Source organism: Homo sapiens, chromosome 3 (genome assembly GCF_000001405.40).
Source record: "Homo sapiens chromosome 3, GRCh38.p14 Primary Assembly".
NCBI lineage: Eukaryota > Metazoa > Chordata > Mammalia > Primates > Hominidae > Homo > Homo sapiens.
Window position 1 is genome coordinate 172,332,961 of NC_000003.12, and position 18,151 is coordinate 172,351,111.

Here is an 18,151-nt window from a genome sequence, read left to right on the forward strand (position 1 = left end):
GTAGCTGCCAGACCTCTGGCCAGTTGCTGGTGATGGTAGGGAAAGGCAGTATAAAAATCCTGTATTCAAAGGTATTTAATGCCCAGAATTTTTTATACTGATGTTTCTTCCTGGCTTTGCCTTTTCAGGATAACCTTTTCCACCCAAAATACACTGGAGAGGATTTAACCTGTACTGTGAAAAATCTCAAAAGAAGCACACAGTATAAATTCAGGGTGAGTCAGTCATTTTGCTACCTGAACTGCTTAAAAATGAAACTGTTTTCTATTTCACCATTTACCATGTCAGATTGACTCTACAGGTTAAAAAATGAAGTTCACAGCACTTTACATTTTGAAAGTAACATTTATAAAGTGTACAACATGCTTTATTTATTTATTTGAGATGGAGTCTCTATGTCACTCAGGCTGGAGTGCAGTGGCACGATCTCGGCTCACTGCAACCTCTGCCTCCCGGGTTTAAGCAGTTCTCCTGCCTCAGCCTCCCGAGTAGCTGGGACTATAGGCGTGTGCCACTATGCCCGGCTAATTTTTTTTTTTTTTTTTTTTTTTTTTTTGTATTTTTAGTTGAGACGGGGGTTTCACCATGTTGGCCAGGCTGGTCTCAATCTCCTGACCTCGTGATCCACCTGCCTCGGCCTCCCAAAGTGCTGTGATTACAGGCATGAGCCACTGCGCCTGGCCCATGCTTTAATTTTAAAACCAACTTGTGAGCACAAAAATTGTCATCATGTGCTGTAATAAATTGCATTTACAGCATGGCCAAATGCCCTTGCCTGGGAAGAGACACACCAGGTGCTGGAGTGCACCTGTCACTTACCTGCACTCCATACCTTTTTCCTTTCGAGCAGTCTCTTTGCTCTTCACTTTCCTTTGCTCTTCTGCCCATTTATTTTTCCTCACTTGCTTGTAATTTTCTCTTCCATGACCCACCCCCTCCCTACCTGGGCTGTCTTTGGTCATTAACAGCCACCATTAATGTTACTATAGGACTATGTGTAGTAGCCAAAAAAGTGAATATGACTTTACGATCACTAAGAGATCAAAACGATATTCTGCAGCACTGTATTTTCTAGTATGACAAGTGTGCGTTTTGGAAGATAAGATTGTCTTCTGATTCCACACATTCTTCTCTAAGTCAGGGACCAAATGCTATTATTTGGCACATAGCAATCACTCAATAAATAGTTGCCAAATTATCAAGTGCAGTGTGTGACTATTTGAGGGAAATGATAATTTTTAACATATTTTTTAAAACCCTTATTATCGATGCTGGCTATGAGAACATAGCTATACTGCTAACGTTTCTCCACAAGGTGGCATTGCCCTACGCTTTAAAAAGTGGGGCTATTTTTATGTCCCCCCCCCCACCCCCATATTTTCCTTTCACAAAACAATACAAACCAGGTGATGACATACTTGTTTTATCATGTCTTTTTGAAAGGGTAAAAATATCTTTAAAACCCATCTTATCATTTTATTTTTATTTATTTATTTTTTGAGTTGGAGTTTCGCTCTTGTTGCCCAGGCTGGAGTGCAATGGCATGATCTTGGCTCACCGCAACCTCTGCCTCCCAGGTTCAAGGGATTCTCCTGCCTCAGCCTCCCGAGTAGCTGGGATTACAGGCATGTGCCATCACGCCCAGCTAATTTTGTACTTTTAGTAGAGATGGGGTTTCTCCATGTTGGTCAGGCTGGTCTCGAACTCTTGACCTCAGGTGATCCACCCACTTTGGCCTCCCAAAGTGTTAGGATTACAGGCGTGAGCCACTGTGCTGGCTGGTTTTATTTTTAATTGTTAATAACCAACTATACAGTAAATGATTTATAAAATAAATACTGTTAATACTTGAGTTGAAAGAGAAAAAAATGTGTGTGTGTCTGAGTTTATGGGTGCCTTAATCTCACCATGTTAAAAAGTGACCATTAATTTAATGATCCCTGATAACTAAATCATGTTAACGTTTCCTTGGTTGTGTTCTAGCTGACTGCTTCTAATACGGAAGGAAAAAGCTGTCCAAGCGAAGTTCTTGTTTGTACGACGAGTCCTGACAGGCCTGGACCTCCTACCAGACCGCTTGTCAAAGGCCCAGTTACATCTCATGGCTTTAGTGTCAAATGGGGTATGTTTTGCTGCTGCTGCTACTGTTTTTTTTTTTTTTTTCTTTTGATAGATTTTTAAAAAATGATTCATTTTAGTAGTGACAAGCCAAAAAAATTGTGGATGGTATTTGCAGAAGTTTTCTGCATTCGGAATATATGTGTGAGAAACATCCTGAGAATTCTACAAATTGGAATGGACAATTTCATTAAAATGTAATCGTAATGGACAATTAAATTTTAGTGGAAATTAAAATGGATGATTTTTAAGAGTATCTCATTTACTCTATGATTTTCCTGTTTACATATTTTTTTCTCCTATATTTTTAAGGCATGGATTTGAATGTAGTAATCTCTGCATGCATCGTTCATTCTTCAATAGTTCATCCTTAAAAAATTAGCAATACTTAATAGAAAAATTTTGATTTATAAAGTTAATATTGAAAATAAATTTCAAAATTTAGGTTTGTTAAGTAAACTTTAGCATACAGAACATTTAAGTTGCAATGAATTAGGGATAGTTTTGTTTCCATTGGTGTTTGTTGTATAAAGTCTTGAACTTTGGGAAATTTTAACATTAAAGTTCATAAGGAGTTTGAGGTTGTCTGGCAAAAGGATATTGTGCCTCACCTCTGTTGTGTGAATTATTTCAATAAAATGAATACAATTAGAAGGTTGACAATTAATATGTAAAAGTGTTATGCGTATCATTTTTACTAATGTCATAATAATATTAACTAATAGGCAAAAAAAAAGTTGAAATCTTAAATAAAATTTTACCTTGCAGCCAAGTAATATAAGGGGAATTTAAAACATTATTACACCAACCACTGAGACATATAACTGTTTCAAGTTACCTAATAATTGTGAGATAGAATTATTAGGATTTCTGTTTCCCCAAGAGATGGATATAATTCAGAGAAATGATAAAAATCTAGATGTGCTTTTAGCCAGACCATAGAGCTTTTCTCTCAAAGAACCTCAGAAAGTTCTGTCAACACTACTTACTTTCATTGGCTATATGCTATAATATTTAACTTTATAATTATTATTGTAAATATCTACTACTGAAGTATATATACATTAATGGAAATACCAGGTGAAGGAGAGGGGAAGTGAATGTTCTAAATTTATATATAAGTAAAACTTAAGATTTTTTAGAAAAATCTCCGCTATGTCTAAGAATATAGAAGTGGCAGACTGATAATAAGGGTACATTCTTTATAGTTTTGCAAAATTAGACTGCAAAGGAAGTGTTTTTCTGCTCAGAAAATAAAATTCCTTTAGGCACAGAGTTATGGGTAGACTATATACCCAAGGTGCCTAGGGCTCTAGTCATAAGCCAGAACCTTCTTCCTCAGACTGTCTGCTGGTGCACTGGTTCTCATTGATCCACACCTCTGGTTTCATACCACATTCACCTGGGATGCTGGGATGTAAAGTTTGCTTGGTAGGAAACTGCTAGAATGGACGTATTCCATTTTGATATTTTATTTATTTTGTCAATAAATTTTGTACTTCTCTTTCCGTTCCTTTCCATCACTCAAAAGAATCTTGTTGGCCGGGCACGGTGGCTCATGCCTGTAATCCCAGCACTTTGGGAGGCTGAGGCAAGTGGATCACCTGAGGTCTGGAGTTCAAGACCAGCCTGACTAACGTGGTGAAACCCTGTCTCTACTAAAAATACAAAAAAATTAGCCAGGCGTAGTGGCGGGCGCCTGTAATCCCAGCTACTTGGGAGGCTGAGGAAGGAGACTCGCTTGAACCCAGGAGGCAGAGGTTGCCGTGAGCCGAGATGGCGCCATTGCATTCCAGCCTAGGCAACAGAGCGAAACTCCATCTCAGACGGAAAAAAAAAAAAAACAAAAGAATCTAGTCACTGATAAAATAAGTGAAATAAAAAGAATAAAATCAGAAATATGAACATACAGTCTTACATAAAAATCATCAAATATATTAAAGAGCACCTTCAAGTAAATTCAACAACTTGATCAGTTTGTGCCGAGTTTTTTGTTCATATTTCACTACATGAATGCTCTTTGACATTTCTATATCTAAGAACTTTGAATAGTCTGATAGTATTCAGAGATTCCTGGTTTGTTTTTTTCTTTTTTTTCAACAGAGGAGTTGGTGAAATAAATTATTTTGCCTTTTGGTCATGTCTAGAATTCAGATAGTATAATGGTGTGTGATTTTATGAGTCCTGATGATGTTTACCAATAAAAATCAATATCCTTTTATTGCTAATAAGACATTTGGTTATTTTCCAGATCCCCCTAAGGACAATGGTGGTTCAGAAATCCTCAAGTACTTGCTAGAGATTACTGATGGAAATTCTGAAGGTGAAGTTTTTGGCAATTGTTTTATTCAAATCCAATAGCAAGCTCTGTTTTCTAATATAGTAAATGTCTTTATAGTAATAGTGAGTAATCATTAATTCTAAAGATAGAATTATTATTACAATAAACAAACTTTAGTCACATATTGGCAGTTTTTCTATTTCAAACACAGCACCAGAGATCAGAGTCTACTTGAAACTTACATTTGTGTTATTTAACAATTTTTCTGTATCTTTTTCATTGGTGTTTTGTTTTGTTTATCTTTTGTTTTTGTTTCTTTGGTTTGGTTTGTTTTTGTTTTGTTTTTTGAGATACGATCTCTGTCACACAGGCTGGAGGGCAGTGGCACAAACATGGCCCATTGCAGTCTCAAACTCCTGGGCTTAAGTGACTCTTCTGCCACAGAAGATGAGGAAGAATACATTTTTCATAGTGATGGGGTCTCACTATGTTATCTAGGCTGGTCTCAAACTCCTGGCCTCAAGCAACCCTCCACCTTGGCCTCCCAAAGTGCTGGGACTATAGACATGAATCACCACACTCAGCTTCCATGTCTTTTTATGAACTAGGGTTCCTAATTAATCAGATAAATTTGGTATTTTCATCTCCTAACTTGCCATATGTTTTCTGGAAATTCTTATAAGCAGCCGAGAGTGGTGGCTCACGCTGTAATCCCAGCACTTTGGGAGGCTGAGGTGGGTGGTCAAGAGATCAAGACCATCCTGGCCAACATGGTGAAACCCCGTCTCTACTAAAAATACAAAAATTAGCTGGGTGTGGTGGCAGGCACCTGTAGTCCCAGCTACTTGGGAGGCTGAGGCAGAAGAATTGCTTGAACCCAGCAGGCGGAGGTTGCAGTGAGCTGAGATTGCACCACTGCACTCCAGCCTGGTGACAGAGTGAGACTCTGTCTCAAAAAAAAAAAAAAAAAAAAATTCTTATAAGCAAAGAGAGTATCAGAGGCAGGAAGGGGAAGGTGGAGATAGTGAAAAGGGGTAGGTTCAGTAATCTACAAATTCCCATGCATGATTAAACAGTATATAGTATTGTGGGCTAGTGACAAGAATCACACTTTTATAACAAGTTTAGAAAATGTCTTTCCAACTTCATTGTCATTTTGCTTCAGGTTTTTGTTACTATTCATACTGGGTGGATTAACATGGGACAAATGTTAGAAATAAAATTCCTTAGTGCCTTTTTAAAAATTCTAAGGTTTTCTTTCTAATAAAATTCATTAGACTTTAATAGAGAAAAGTATAGTCTTCAAAACTTTTTAAATGACATATCATCTCACCACTGTAATAATCTCTCTAACTATTAAGGTTTTGTTTTGTTTTGTTTTGTTTTGTTTTTTGAGACGGAGTCTCGCTCTGTCGCCCAGGCGACAGAGTGCAGTGGCGTGATCTCGGCTCACTGCAAGCTCCGCCTCCTGGGTTCATGCCATTCTCCCGCCTCAGCCTCCGGAGTAGCTGGGACTACAGACGCCCACCACTAGGCCGGCTAATTTTTTTTGAATTTTTAGTAGAGACGGGGTTTCACCGTTTTACCCAGGATAGTCTCGATCTCCTGACCTCGTGATCCACCCACCTCGGTCTTCCAAAGTGCTGGGATTACAGGTGTGAGCCACCGCGCCCGGCCCACCATTAAATTTTTTTTTAAATGGCACATGCTAATGCCAAAAACAGAGAGCATTGATAAAACTTTTACAAGCAAGCAGTGCTGATGTGTGGCTGGCTTTTTATTCTGTACCATGAGAACCACCTGGAATTTTTTTAAGTCTGTTGGTTCCTATTTTAAGCTGAAAACATGAGAATTCTTTTGAGATGAGCACAGCTGTTCTAAACATAAAATCATATTTTGTGGTTAAAAACCTGGTTTAGAACTGCTGGGCATGGTGGCTCACACCTGTAATCCCAGCACTTTAGGAGGCGAGATGGGTGGATCACGAGGTCAGGAGTTCGAGACCAGCCTGGCCAACATGGTGAAACCCGTCTCTGCTAGAAAAAATACAAAAATTAGCTGGGTGTGGTGGCATGTGCCTGTAATTCCAGCTACTTGAGAGGCAGAGGCAGGAGAGTCGTTGGAACCCAGGAGTCGGAGGTCGCAGTGAGCCGAGATCGCACCACTGCACTTAAGCCTGGGCGACAGAGTAAGACTCTGTCTCGGAAGAAAAAACAAAAAACAAACAAACAAACAAAAAACCTGGTTTAGCTTTTCTTCATTAGAAAAACCCAACTAGGTTAGAAGTCATGTATATGCCAGTGGCTCGTTGTGAATATTTAAGTATGTTTTGAATTCTCATGGCTCCCTTTAGCTACTGATGACAAATCAAAAGTAGGGGCCCTTCTGGACTTCCAGTTAACAACTTTGTGACTGCATGGCTGAGTGAGTGATTGAATCTTTTCAGTAATCCTTGCTCCCAGTCACCTTTTCAGTACAGGTTTTTTTGACCTGTAATATCAGGATAATTGCCTTTGCTATTGCCTTTCTTCATATGGCCTTAGTGCATGCGACTCTGTTGTGAATCTAAACTAATAAGCCGCTGGGGGAATTTGTGGAAGTTACTCTAGTTAAAATACCAGGGAATAGAAAAAGCATTTCCCCTAAAACAACTTCATGTAGTAAAAGGCTTTTGTAAAGTGGTCAACTGGAAACACAGCGTGAGTGGGAATAAAACAGAGGAGTGAAGAGCCTCCCAGTGGCCTGGAATTGTGAGTCAGGCAGGCGGCTGAGGCAGCCCTGGGTGCCCTTGCTTCTGACGGCATCAGCCTTGGGGGGCACCCAGACTCCTGGTGACCGTTTCTCTCTTCAGTTCCACAAAGCGGTCAGATCACTTGGGTCATGCCACATTTGGTCTTTAATTTGTCACCCCCGTAGGCATTTTTGTCTTTTTTTTTTTTTTTTTTTGAGAGAGTTTCACTCTGTCGCCCAGGCTGGTGTGCAACGGCGCAATCTCGGCTCACTGCAACCTCTGCCTCCTGGGTTCAAGTGATTCTCTTGCCTCAGCCTCCCAAGTAGCTGTGATTACAGGTGCCCACCACCATGCCCAGCTAATTTTTGTATTTTTAGTAGAGACAAGGTTTCGCCAGGTTGGCCAGACTGGTCTCAAACTCCTGACCTCAGGTGATCCACCCACCTCGGCCTCCTAAAGTGCTGGGATTACAGGCGTGAGCCACCGCCTGTAATTTTTGTCTTTTAAGTGGAGCTCCATGAAGGCAGTCAAAAGACCCAGTTTTTAAAAGAGGATTTCACTTCCTTTGACCTCTAGGCAGATAAGAACAGGGAGAAATTCTTGCGTACCACCCCAGACTTGCCAGAAGCCTCGTGGCCAAGAAGTAGCCCCGTGCCTGGCTGCCCCTGAGGCCTCCTCACACCAGGAGCATTTGATAGCTTGCCCACCCCTGTTCTGTGTCTCCTACCACTCCCTCCATGCCAGCGGCACGTTTCATTATGGTTTCCCACATCCAAACCTCATAGCAAATGTAATTGTGGTGATAATAGGTAGTCTAGCCAGCAACACTAAGTATTAAAAATGACTCAATGTTATTTTGGTATTTAACTTTGTAAAAGAAAAAGGAAGAGCTTTCTGGCTATTTAAAAAGAAAAAGAAGATGTTGGTTTTCATGAAAACATAGAGCTTTTTCTTGTCAGCAATGGCTGATATGCTACATTTTTACAAGAGGCATAAAGTCATGCATAAGTCTTGTTTTACAGCGAATCAGTGGGAAGTGGCCTACAGTGGGTCGGCTACCGAATACACCTTCACCCACTTGAAACCAGGCACTTTGTACAAACTCCGAGCATGCTGCATCAGTACCGGCGGACACAGCCAGGTTGGTTTTGTTTCCATATGAAAGTAAACCTCATTGATCAAATTCGGACAAACTGTCTATAACATCAGAAGCAAATTGCAGTTTAAACAATGTATCTTGGTAATGCAACCTAATAGTATCATGTCAGGAAATGAAAAATAGAGCTTTCTGAATTGCTGTTTAGAGGTATAAGATAGGCCTAAATGATTCCCTACTGAATTGTGGTATTTTCGGGTACATTTGTCACTCACTCATTTCTCAGAAGGCTTTGACATAATCACCTGTGACAGTTGAAAATTGTCTGGAATTTGCATTGACTAAATAAAGGAGACCTCGGTTATTGCAATGATTAAAAAACTATAGATTTTAGAGTAAAAAGATAAGACCTGCACAGCACTGCTGTTACCACATCTATCAATTTTAAGAATTTGAGACATACCTTCCTCAAGGTACTTTACTGCCATCTGCTGGAAAGTTGTTGCAAAAACAATATAAATCCATGATGACTGAGCTGAGTGGCACCTCCTGAAGTTGTGTGGTACCCAACGTACACATCTGTAGGCAGCATCCATTCTTTTGTTTCTACTATTTATATGACTTTAGACTAACCTGTTAACATGTCAGGAGCCTTAGTTTCAACCACATAGTACTCTCATAGGCGCAAAACAACCTAATAAATATACATGGAGTACTCTAGAAATAATTGTTATCTAAATGGTTTTAACTTACACTCAGAAAAGTGAATGAGAAACGAGATGCCAAAAGATACTTTCACTGTAGAGATATTTAACATTATGATTTGAAACCACTAAACATTTAAAATGAAAGAGAAGGAGAGATGGTGGCTTACAGCCCTGTGCTGGGTTGACTTTTCAAGAGAATACCTGCCATTTGAAGGCCTAACTTTTCTAGTCAACCCACTTGCAACATCAGTTTTTGTGTTTACTTTCTTTTGCCCCCAAGGATGGTACTAGGGCATCTAGACTGCCCATGTAGACACTGCCTGTGAGGAGAAGGTCCAGCTGGACCATCTTTATACAGTGCCGAAGCTGTCTGGAATGCCTCCCAGGTGGAGTAAATCCAAATCAAAGCTGAGATTATCAGTGGTCCTTCCTATGTGTGAGGCACTACACAAGGTGGCACTGAGGCTGAACTGCTCAAATGCATAGAGTTCATTTCCTCTGTGCCACTTCTCAGGAAGAAAACTGAATGTGGCTGAGCTGTATAGCTCTACCTGATTTTCTCCCGTCTCAGGAAGTAGGTCAGCTTCCATACCACTAGCCTTACGCAACCAGATCCTGCAAAATAAAGGACTGCTTATTTTAGCATTAACAGTACCTGCTGGTTGATGTCAGAATCAATTGATTAATATTGAGTTTATTTGCTTTTCTGCTCTGTATGTGAGTGGTTGGCCATTTATGGTACCATTTTAAAATTTCATCCAGCTGTCGTTTTGTGTTCTCTTCTGTCCTCATGAAGGGTCTTTCTAATTTTGATTTGAAGGAAAAGAATTGTGTGCTTAGGATATACAGTACTCATGTCTGCTAATCTAACTTCAAAAATAATCATTCTTGTTTTTCCCAGTGCCATATGAAGTCTATAGCCACCCTTAAAACACACACACATAAATTTATATGAAGATCTTAATTACATTAAAAGCATACCATAATGTGCACACATTTAGTGTGTAACCCCTTTTCGGTAACATTTGCAGTTATGGGGTGGAATTTGCCTGATATGTAGAGGTCTGATAAATTCACAGTAACTAAGAGATGGTTCTCTCTGGTGTTTCTCCTGCAGTGTTCTGAAAGTCTCCCTGTTCGCACACTAAGCATTGCACCAGGTCAATGTCGACCACCGAGGGTTTTGGGTAGACCAAAGCACAAAGAAGTCCACTTAGAGTGGGGTGAGTGAACTAACCTTCACATTGACATTGACAATTTGGACAATTGGAGATGAAGACTTATGCTTTGTAGTTAAGTTTCAAAGCTTTCTTCTAAAGACCATATACGTTTTTGTCTGTTGAGGATGTCCATATTCTTCTTGAAGTATGTTGACCCAGGTTTTTTATGTGTGTCATTCCCCCCATCCACACCCGCAACACTGTCCCTCACCTTCCTCTTCCTGATGGTGCCACACACATGGTTTATCCCCCGCACTTCAGGGGACACATTTCTAGGGAGTATTTCAAGAACAGCCAGTCTTTTTCAGAAAGTTTTCAACTTTATTCATGGGAAAAAAATTTTGTGCTCCATTTAGAATTTAAACCAAAGAATGGTTTATAAGATCACATGGAATTCTTTCTCGTCTTTGTTTGCAACCACCTCTGCTGCATTGTCCTGTGTGGGTCCTGATGTTTTTACAGCATTGATTTAAGCTGTATTAGCGTTTCCTGTTGTGTCCAGCAGTTTACAACATGTATAATTACAAGTACAAATGTACAGAACTCTCTAGCAGACTATTTTTTCCTACCACTTATGTCTAAAGTATAATAAATTGTGCCAATTTGGGGTCCTGTATTTTGATTTAGCATGACCTTTGGTTTCCAATTAAAGAGATTTTTCTTCCCTCTTTTTCTTCCATTTACCTAGCATTAGAATATGAAGAAATATATCTAATGTTCCTATAATTTTGGGATTATTTTATCAATGTAATTAAATAAACTTCAGTGGACCCGCTTTGGAGAGTATGGATAACATCATTCAGAAACTTTTATTTTTATATCTCTTTTTTGGTGGGCATGGATTCTTTTGTAAGGGAGATACTGAGGCCGGCCACCTATGTGATATTTTGCTCAACTTGTGTGAAATCTGGTGCACTTTGGTCAACTGGAAGCACAAAGTGTTCTAAGATGAAAAAAATTCTTCATTCCCAGATGTTCCTGCATCGGAAAGTGGCTGTGAGGTCTCAGAGTACAGCGTGGAGATGACGGAGCCCGAAGACGTAGCCTCGGAAGTGTACCATGGCCCAGAGCTGGAGTGCACCGTCGGCAACCTGCTTCCTGGAACCGTGTATCGCTTCCGGGTGAGGGCTCTGAATGATGGAGGGGTGAGTATAAGCCCATACACCATAACCAGAATCAGAATGCATAATCAGAACCCAAAGTGCTAGCACTTCTGTCTCTAGCCTCCTGAAATTTTTGACAGTCTTGATGCAACCTTGACAACCATTAATGCAGTGTCTGTAAATCTTAATTCTGAGTTGATATTGTTGTGATTTCATATAGACCCAGCATTAGAAGTTTTCTGTTTCTTTTGTCCTCATATCATTCTATGAAGACAGCACTCAAGGTTAATAAGGATATCACCCTGTAGATATTTTCGACAGTTTTTGGAAAATTTCCTATTCTATTGACTTTATCAGTTCAGGGAAATTAGGATTAGATAATAGTTCTAATAAAAGTTTTATACTGTCTTGTCTAAATGAACCAGCAACATCTTAGGTCAGTTTTTACAACTAGAGAAGGGTAGTGGCCAGGGACACCAGCTTGTTTTTGTTTTGTTTCACGTGAAAACTACAGGACTCTCTCCTTCTATTGCTCCATTTGGAGTTGTCAAGTTGAGCTATCAAAAATTGAGAATATATATGTCTATGTTATATCCATAAAGGTTGTTGTCCTTTTTTTCTTTGAAATTGCCAAATGATGTGGATTTAGGGGGAGATGAATAATGAGCAGTGGGAGTCCCAGTAACTGTGAGGCTTTTGGGTGGGCTCAGAGATTGATGAAGCATAAAAGGGCAGAAGCGTGTGGGTAAAGCCAGCTAAATGCCCCGTCCAAAGTGCCAGTGGTTTGTGTAGATGGGCTCCATGCAAATAAATAGAATTAATTAATTGATGATTTTTTAAAAAAATAAGACAGCCCAACTTGCAGTGACTTTTTGTTTTAAGTGAAAGCAAGTTTATTAAGAAAGTAAAGGAATAAAAGAAGGGCTATTCCTTAGGCAGAGTGCCCAAAACTGGATTTCTCCTAATTCTCCAATAGAAAAGAATTTCAGACACAACAATGATACTTAAGTGAAAACAAAAAAGTCTGAACATTAACGCCTATGTACCTGAACTTATAATCATGTAAGCGAAAAGAAGATGGATAGTGATGAGCACACTGTTGTGTCTACCCCATTCTCTCATCAACTTTTCAGTTACTATCTGCCACAACAAAGATAAATGTGCAACTGGGCTGGTGTGAGCTGTACTTTTCTCAGCCCTTTCACTGATTTATCCTATAAAGAAACTATCTTCAGCTTGGGTTTATTCCTGTTGTATTAGAAATTAACCATATATATCGCTGTAGTCACCTTCTGAGGTCCATTTCAGAGAGCTTCCCCAACTCCCCAGCATCTTTGCATGTTATGTTGAGAGGTGGTTTTTTGTTTCCCCCCTCCCCGCCGTCTTTTTTCTCTCATTTTGACAAGGACAGTCATATATTTTGTTAGCCTGGCAAGTTTTTACTCTGCTCCAAACCTTTGAAGTATCAAATATGCCACCATTAAAATGGGTGGTTCAGGTGGCTGTGACTCTCTCAAAGTGTGGTAAGTCTCTAGCAATTCCTGGCTCTGAGCAGTGTGGTCACTGATGGTAACATCAGGATTGCCGTGGATACCCTTGAATAGGTGAGGTGATGGGAACACACTGAGAAAACATTACAGAAGCATTTATTTTCAAAATGGAAAATACCGGTAACTAGAAGAAATACCTAGAATTTGATCACCAACAATTCCAAGTATATTTTTATTCATTAAAAATTAAACTGCAGTGGGCATCTGACTTAGTTTTCTTGGATGTCCTCTGAGAAATATGAAAGCAGATTGCCCTGTTTTGTCAAAAATCAGCATATTTTTATTTCATGTCCCAAGAAAGGGAAAATATTTTGTCAACCAACTAATTATTTTACAATTAAAAAAATGACAGACATCTACTACTCAGGGACTGTATATAGGAGAAAAACTTACACACATTGAATTGAAAGTGAAAATCATTGGGTAATATTTGTTAATTAGTTGTGTTGATGATGATGTTAGCCTAGCTTTTATTTGGTTATAAGCTTTTGTATGCACACACATTCACAAACACATACACGCATATATACATACGTGTGTGTGCGTGTGTTTTCTTTCAGTATGGTCCCTATTCTGATGTCTCAGAAATTACCACTGCTGCAGGGCCTCCTGGACAATGCAAAGCACCTTGTATTTCTTGTACACCTGATGGATGTGTCTTAGTGGGTTGGGAGGTAAGTCAGGCATATTCTGCATCAACTTCTGTTTCTTCTACTTTACTCCCAAATACAAATACCAATTATAAGGAAGCTGCAAATCCAAAATGCACATATAGATGATTTTTTTTTTTTTTTTGCTCTGTGTACTATAGTAATCACCCTTGGCACTTGCCACTTGCTTATATTATTTAGGGTTGTGGAAGTTTTACTGTAGTCAAAACTGAGAGGAAATGGTTTCTCATGCCTTTCTTTTTGTAAAAAATTTTATTTTATTTTACTTATTTTATTTTTTTGTGTGACAGAGTTTCAATCTTGTCACCCAGGCTGGAGGGCAGTGGCACAATCTCGGCTCACTGCAACCTCTGCCTCCCTGGTTCAAGTGATTCTCCTGCCTCAGCCTCCTGAGTAGCTGGGATTACAGGTGCCCACCACCATGCCTGGCTAGTTTTTGTACTTTTAGTAGAGATAGGGTTTCACTGTGTTGGCCAGGCTGGTCTCGAACTCCTTATCTTAGGCAATCCACCCACCTCAGCCTCCCAAAGTGCTGGGATTACAGGCATGAGCCGCCGCACCTGGCCCTATTTTATTTTTAAATTTCTAAATCTCAAAAAAAATTTTGTGGGTACATAGTAGGTATATATATTTGTGATCGTGCCTTTCTTTTATATGTATTTGAAATATTCTGGGGCATGTTGCTCTCTTTCCCATTTTAGTTAATTGAATACAAGCACAGTAGGATTCTCTTCTCAGTGGCATTATTAACTACTTCCATTTCTGCCTTTCCAGAGTCCTGATAGTTCTGGTGCTGACATCTCAGAGTACAGGTTGGAATGGGGAGAAGATGAAGAATCCTTAGAACTCATTTATCATGGGACAGACACCCGTTTTGAAATAAGAGACCTGTTGCCTGCTGCACAGTATTGCTGTAGACTACAGGTAGGTTGACATTATTCAGATGTTACTCACAAGGACTGCTGTCCCATGAAAGGCACTTTGGGAAACCCACTCAAAGGCTTGTGGTGGAGGCTGTCAGGAGGGATGATATGGAAAAAAAGAGTCCATTTAAATAAAAATATATTTGGTTGTTTTGGTGTTTTGCAGTTAATTTCCACTTCTCTAGGAAATTCTGAAACTTAAGAACAAAATAAGATTCTTCTCCATTCTGCTTCTCACCACCCTTGTATCTTGTCTGTTCATCAGTTTGCTGAATAAATGACCCAAGTCCAAGGGAAAGATGACACAGCTCCTTAGGGAAGGAGCCTTCTGTCTCATTCCCCTGAGATGTACATTTCAGTGGGAAAGACTCTTAGAACTGGTAAAAGACAGAAAATTATTTTACGAGCTGTTAAATGGAGCCAAAAATAATCTGGACTAGTCTGCATTAGATTACAGGACCCCACCTCCCACCTCCCAGTGACGGTTATCAAGGCTGGTTATCTATAAGCTTCCACTTGGGAGTCCAGATAGAATAACATCAAGAAAAATTGGTTCATAGCCTAACCCCTCAGAGTGACAATAACCATGGGTTTACTTTTATTTTACTCTCTTGGCTATATTATTATTTTTTCTGTGTAAAGCCTTAGTCTCTTGAGAAAATAGAGTTCTTTGTCCTCCTCTTTCCATTTGTTCAGTAACATTTCTTGAGCATTATAGTACTTTGTACCAGGATCAAAGGAAGATCAGGAAGAGAGATACAAAGATTAATCAGATGTGGTTGTTGACCTTGAAGAGCTCTGTCTTCATACACATTTAGATTTGAATAGATAAAGAAGCAAAGATGCCAAAGTCAAGTTCCCACCTGATTTAAGTCATGGATCAAATTCGTTATTATAAGTACACCCAATGTCTCTGGTCTCTTTGGAGAAAATATTCGCTTCATAACTTAATTTTTCAGATCAACTGAAGCATTTCTGTTAAATTCAGAAGTCTGCTGTATTTGAAACATTTCTGATTAAACTCTTTTGTTATACACCTTTCTTGCTTCTCGAATGAAGCACCTGGGACATAATTAACCTTTTGACAATGAGTCAGTGTCACAGCAAATTGTCTGATATTTATAATAGTGATGCTGAGTCACTGGGGAAAGGTTAAATTATGTGCCACACTCTTGTTTTTCTACCAAGGCAGGATATAAATAAAGAGCTGTCTGCCACCCCAGTAAAGAGCTTCACTCCATTATGGTTTTTGAGTTTTGGTGTTTCTTTAAAATGTTATTATATCTCCTTCTCTTTCAGAGTCTATGTTGTCTTAGCATTGACTTCCCAAAGCTGCATTATAAAAGATACATTAATAAGAATAGTACCTGCATAATCTTGCCTCGTTGTATTAACAGGAGTAGAAATATATTTTCAAAGGTCTGTGCTTATTTATAATAAAATGAGTCAGATCTTATGAAGGGAGTACTACTTTTAAGATTACCATTGCCACACTAAAGGACTATTGCCAGGAAGGGGGTCTGTTCAAACTATACCAATTTATTGTTATTTGTGGACCAAATATGAATTATTTTCATTCAACATGATTACAAAGTCAAGTTAAACCCCAATATTTTTTGAATATATGGCACTTAAGAATTTAAATATTGGCCGGGCATGGGGGCTCACACTTGTAATCCCAGCACTGTAGGAGGCTGAGGCCGGCTGATCTCTTGAGCCAGGAGATAGAGACTAGCCTGGACAACATAACAAAACCCCTCCTCTACAAAAAAAAAAAATACAAAAATTAGCCAGGCATCTGTAGTCCCAGCTGCTCAGGAGCCTGAGGCAGGAGGATCACTTGAGCCAGGTCAAGGCTGTAGTGACCTGTGACTGCACCACTGTAGGCCAGCGTGGGCGACAGAGTGAGAGCCTGTCTCAAAAAAATAAAAATTTATTATAATACCTGTACTGTGTTTTATAGAAATGTGGTGGAACATTTCTTGTTTTGCTCAGGAATTTTTGAATTTTTGTATTTTCAGGACTGTTTTAATTAAGTACCAACGTAATTCCATTCATAGGGCATGTTGTATATTATAGGCATACTATTATTTACAAAAAGTTGATTTTGAATTAAATTTCATTTGAAAACTGTTAATAAAAAGTGGTGTAAATCAAGAAATGTTTTCCATAGAGCCAAGCTAGTTAAAAAGAAAGTAGGATCCTGCAGTAGAAAAAGAACATTGGAAGAATTGGTAAGATTCTGATTAGGTCTGTATGTTAATAGTATAGTATCAGTGATAATGTTTTTCTTTTCTTTTTTTTCTTTTTTTTGAGATGGAGTCACGCTCTGTCACCCAGGCTGGAGTGCAGTGGCGCGATCTTGGCTCACTGCAACCTCCGCTTCACAGGTTCAAGCGATTCTCCTGTCTCAGCCTCCCGAGTAGCCGGGATTACAGGCGCCTGCCACCACGCCTGACTAATTTTTGTATTTTTAGTAGAGATGGGGTTTCACCAGGTTGGCCAGGCTGGTCTCGAACTCCCGACCTCAGATGATCCACCCGCCTCAGCCTCGCAAAGTGCTGGGATTCCAGGTGTGAGCCACCGTGCCCGGCCACCAGTGATAATTTCCTGGTTTTGATCATTATTCTATAGTTCTGTAACATGTTTCTCTTCGGAAAAGCAGAGTAGGAGATAGACAGAAATTTCTCTGTACTATTTTTGCAACTTTTCTGTAAGTATAAAAGTAGTACACAATAAAAAGGTGTTTGAAAAAATAGAGAAAATACTATTTTGTTCATAATTTTCCCAGTGGGAAGGAAGAAAGTGTAGCTCCTACTGTTGGCCTGATACTCTGCCAGCATTTTACATATTAACCGATTTAATCTTTACTGTAATTCTATGAATTAGGCATTACTGTCCCCATTTTACAGCTGAGGAAACAAGCTCAGAGAAATTAACTAACCTAAGATCACACAGTTGTTAAATGATGGAATCAAGGTTTGAACTAAGCTTCAACTCTTAAAAGCCATGTTCTTGTCCTTCTGTGATATGGTGATACAAAGCCCTAGTTGATAGAAACATTGGGCTCCATGATATCCTATTTTTCTGCCCCTGTGATACATTTATATCAGTACCAAAATCTCGAAATACATACTTATAAAATAATTTGTCATGTTAAAATTTTTCCAGAAAGAGAGTTGAGGTATTGAGGTATTGTAATGAAACAGAAGTGGGTATGACAAAATGTTGCAGTAGAGTTTCAACTGTGATTTAATAGCAAATAAATGCTTTAAGCCTGCTTCTTTGAAATTAACAAAGGAGTTATAAGTTTTGTTTTAGACCTTGATTTAAGAGCTCAAACTTAGCTGGGTGTGGTGGTATGTGCCTGTGGTTCCAGCTACTCAGGAGGCTAAGGTGGGAGGATCACTTGAGCCTGGCAAGCAGAGGTTGTTGCAGTGAGCTGAGATTGCGCCACTGCACTCCAGACAGAGACAGACCCTGTCTCAAAAACAAAAAACAAAACAAAACTCAAACTCCTTTAGTTTTGTAATTCAACCTCATAAGCTGTCCAATAAGCTAAATGAAAACTAAGTTTTAGAGTACATTCACTTTTGTAAGAAAGCTGCCAAATGTTTTTCTCTTTGTAAGAAAGAAAATCTTTTTGATAACATTTATTGAACACATACTCTGTATCAAGTACAGTTGCCAGAAATACAACAGTGAGCCAGACAGGCAACTTTGCCCTTATGTAACTTGCATTCTAATCAGA

At 39.2% G+C, this 18,151-nt stretch overlaps 1 protein-coding gene across 11 annotated transcripts in view; it reads left to right on the plus strand.

Annotated features, from left to right (window-relative positions):
- The window catches only part of FNDC3B (fibronectin type III domain containing 3B), a 362,092-nt gene that overhangs the window by 293,383 nt on the left and 50,558 nt on the right, over positions 1-18,151 (plus strand). For 10 of the 11 annotated variants that reach the window (NM_022763.4, XM_017007062.2, XM_024453717.2 and 7 more), the window contains 8 exons: positions 129-215; positions 1,984-2,122; positions 4,370-4,441; positions 8,153-8,271; positions 10,051-10,156; positions 11,126-11,298; positions 13,367-13,480; positions 14,252-14,401. In NM_022763.4, coding sequence (NP_073600.3) covers positions 129-215; positions 1,984-2,122; positions 4,370-4,441; positions 8,153-8,271; positions 10,051-10,156; positions 11,126-11,298; positions 13,367-13,480; positions 14,252-14,401 — 960 coding nt within the window. Of the gene's footprint in view, positions 1-128; positions 216-1,983; positions 2,123-4,369; positions 4,442-8,152; positions 8,272-10,050; positions 10,157-11,125; positions 11,299-13,366; positions 13,481-14,251; positions 14,402-18,151 lie in introns of those variants that run through there. The other variant, XM_017007064.3, reaches the window with a different exon arrangement.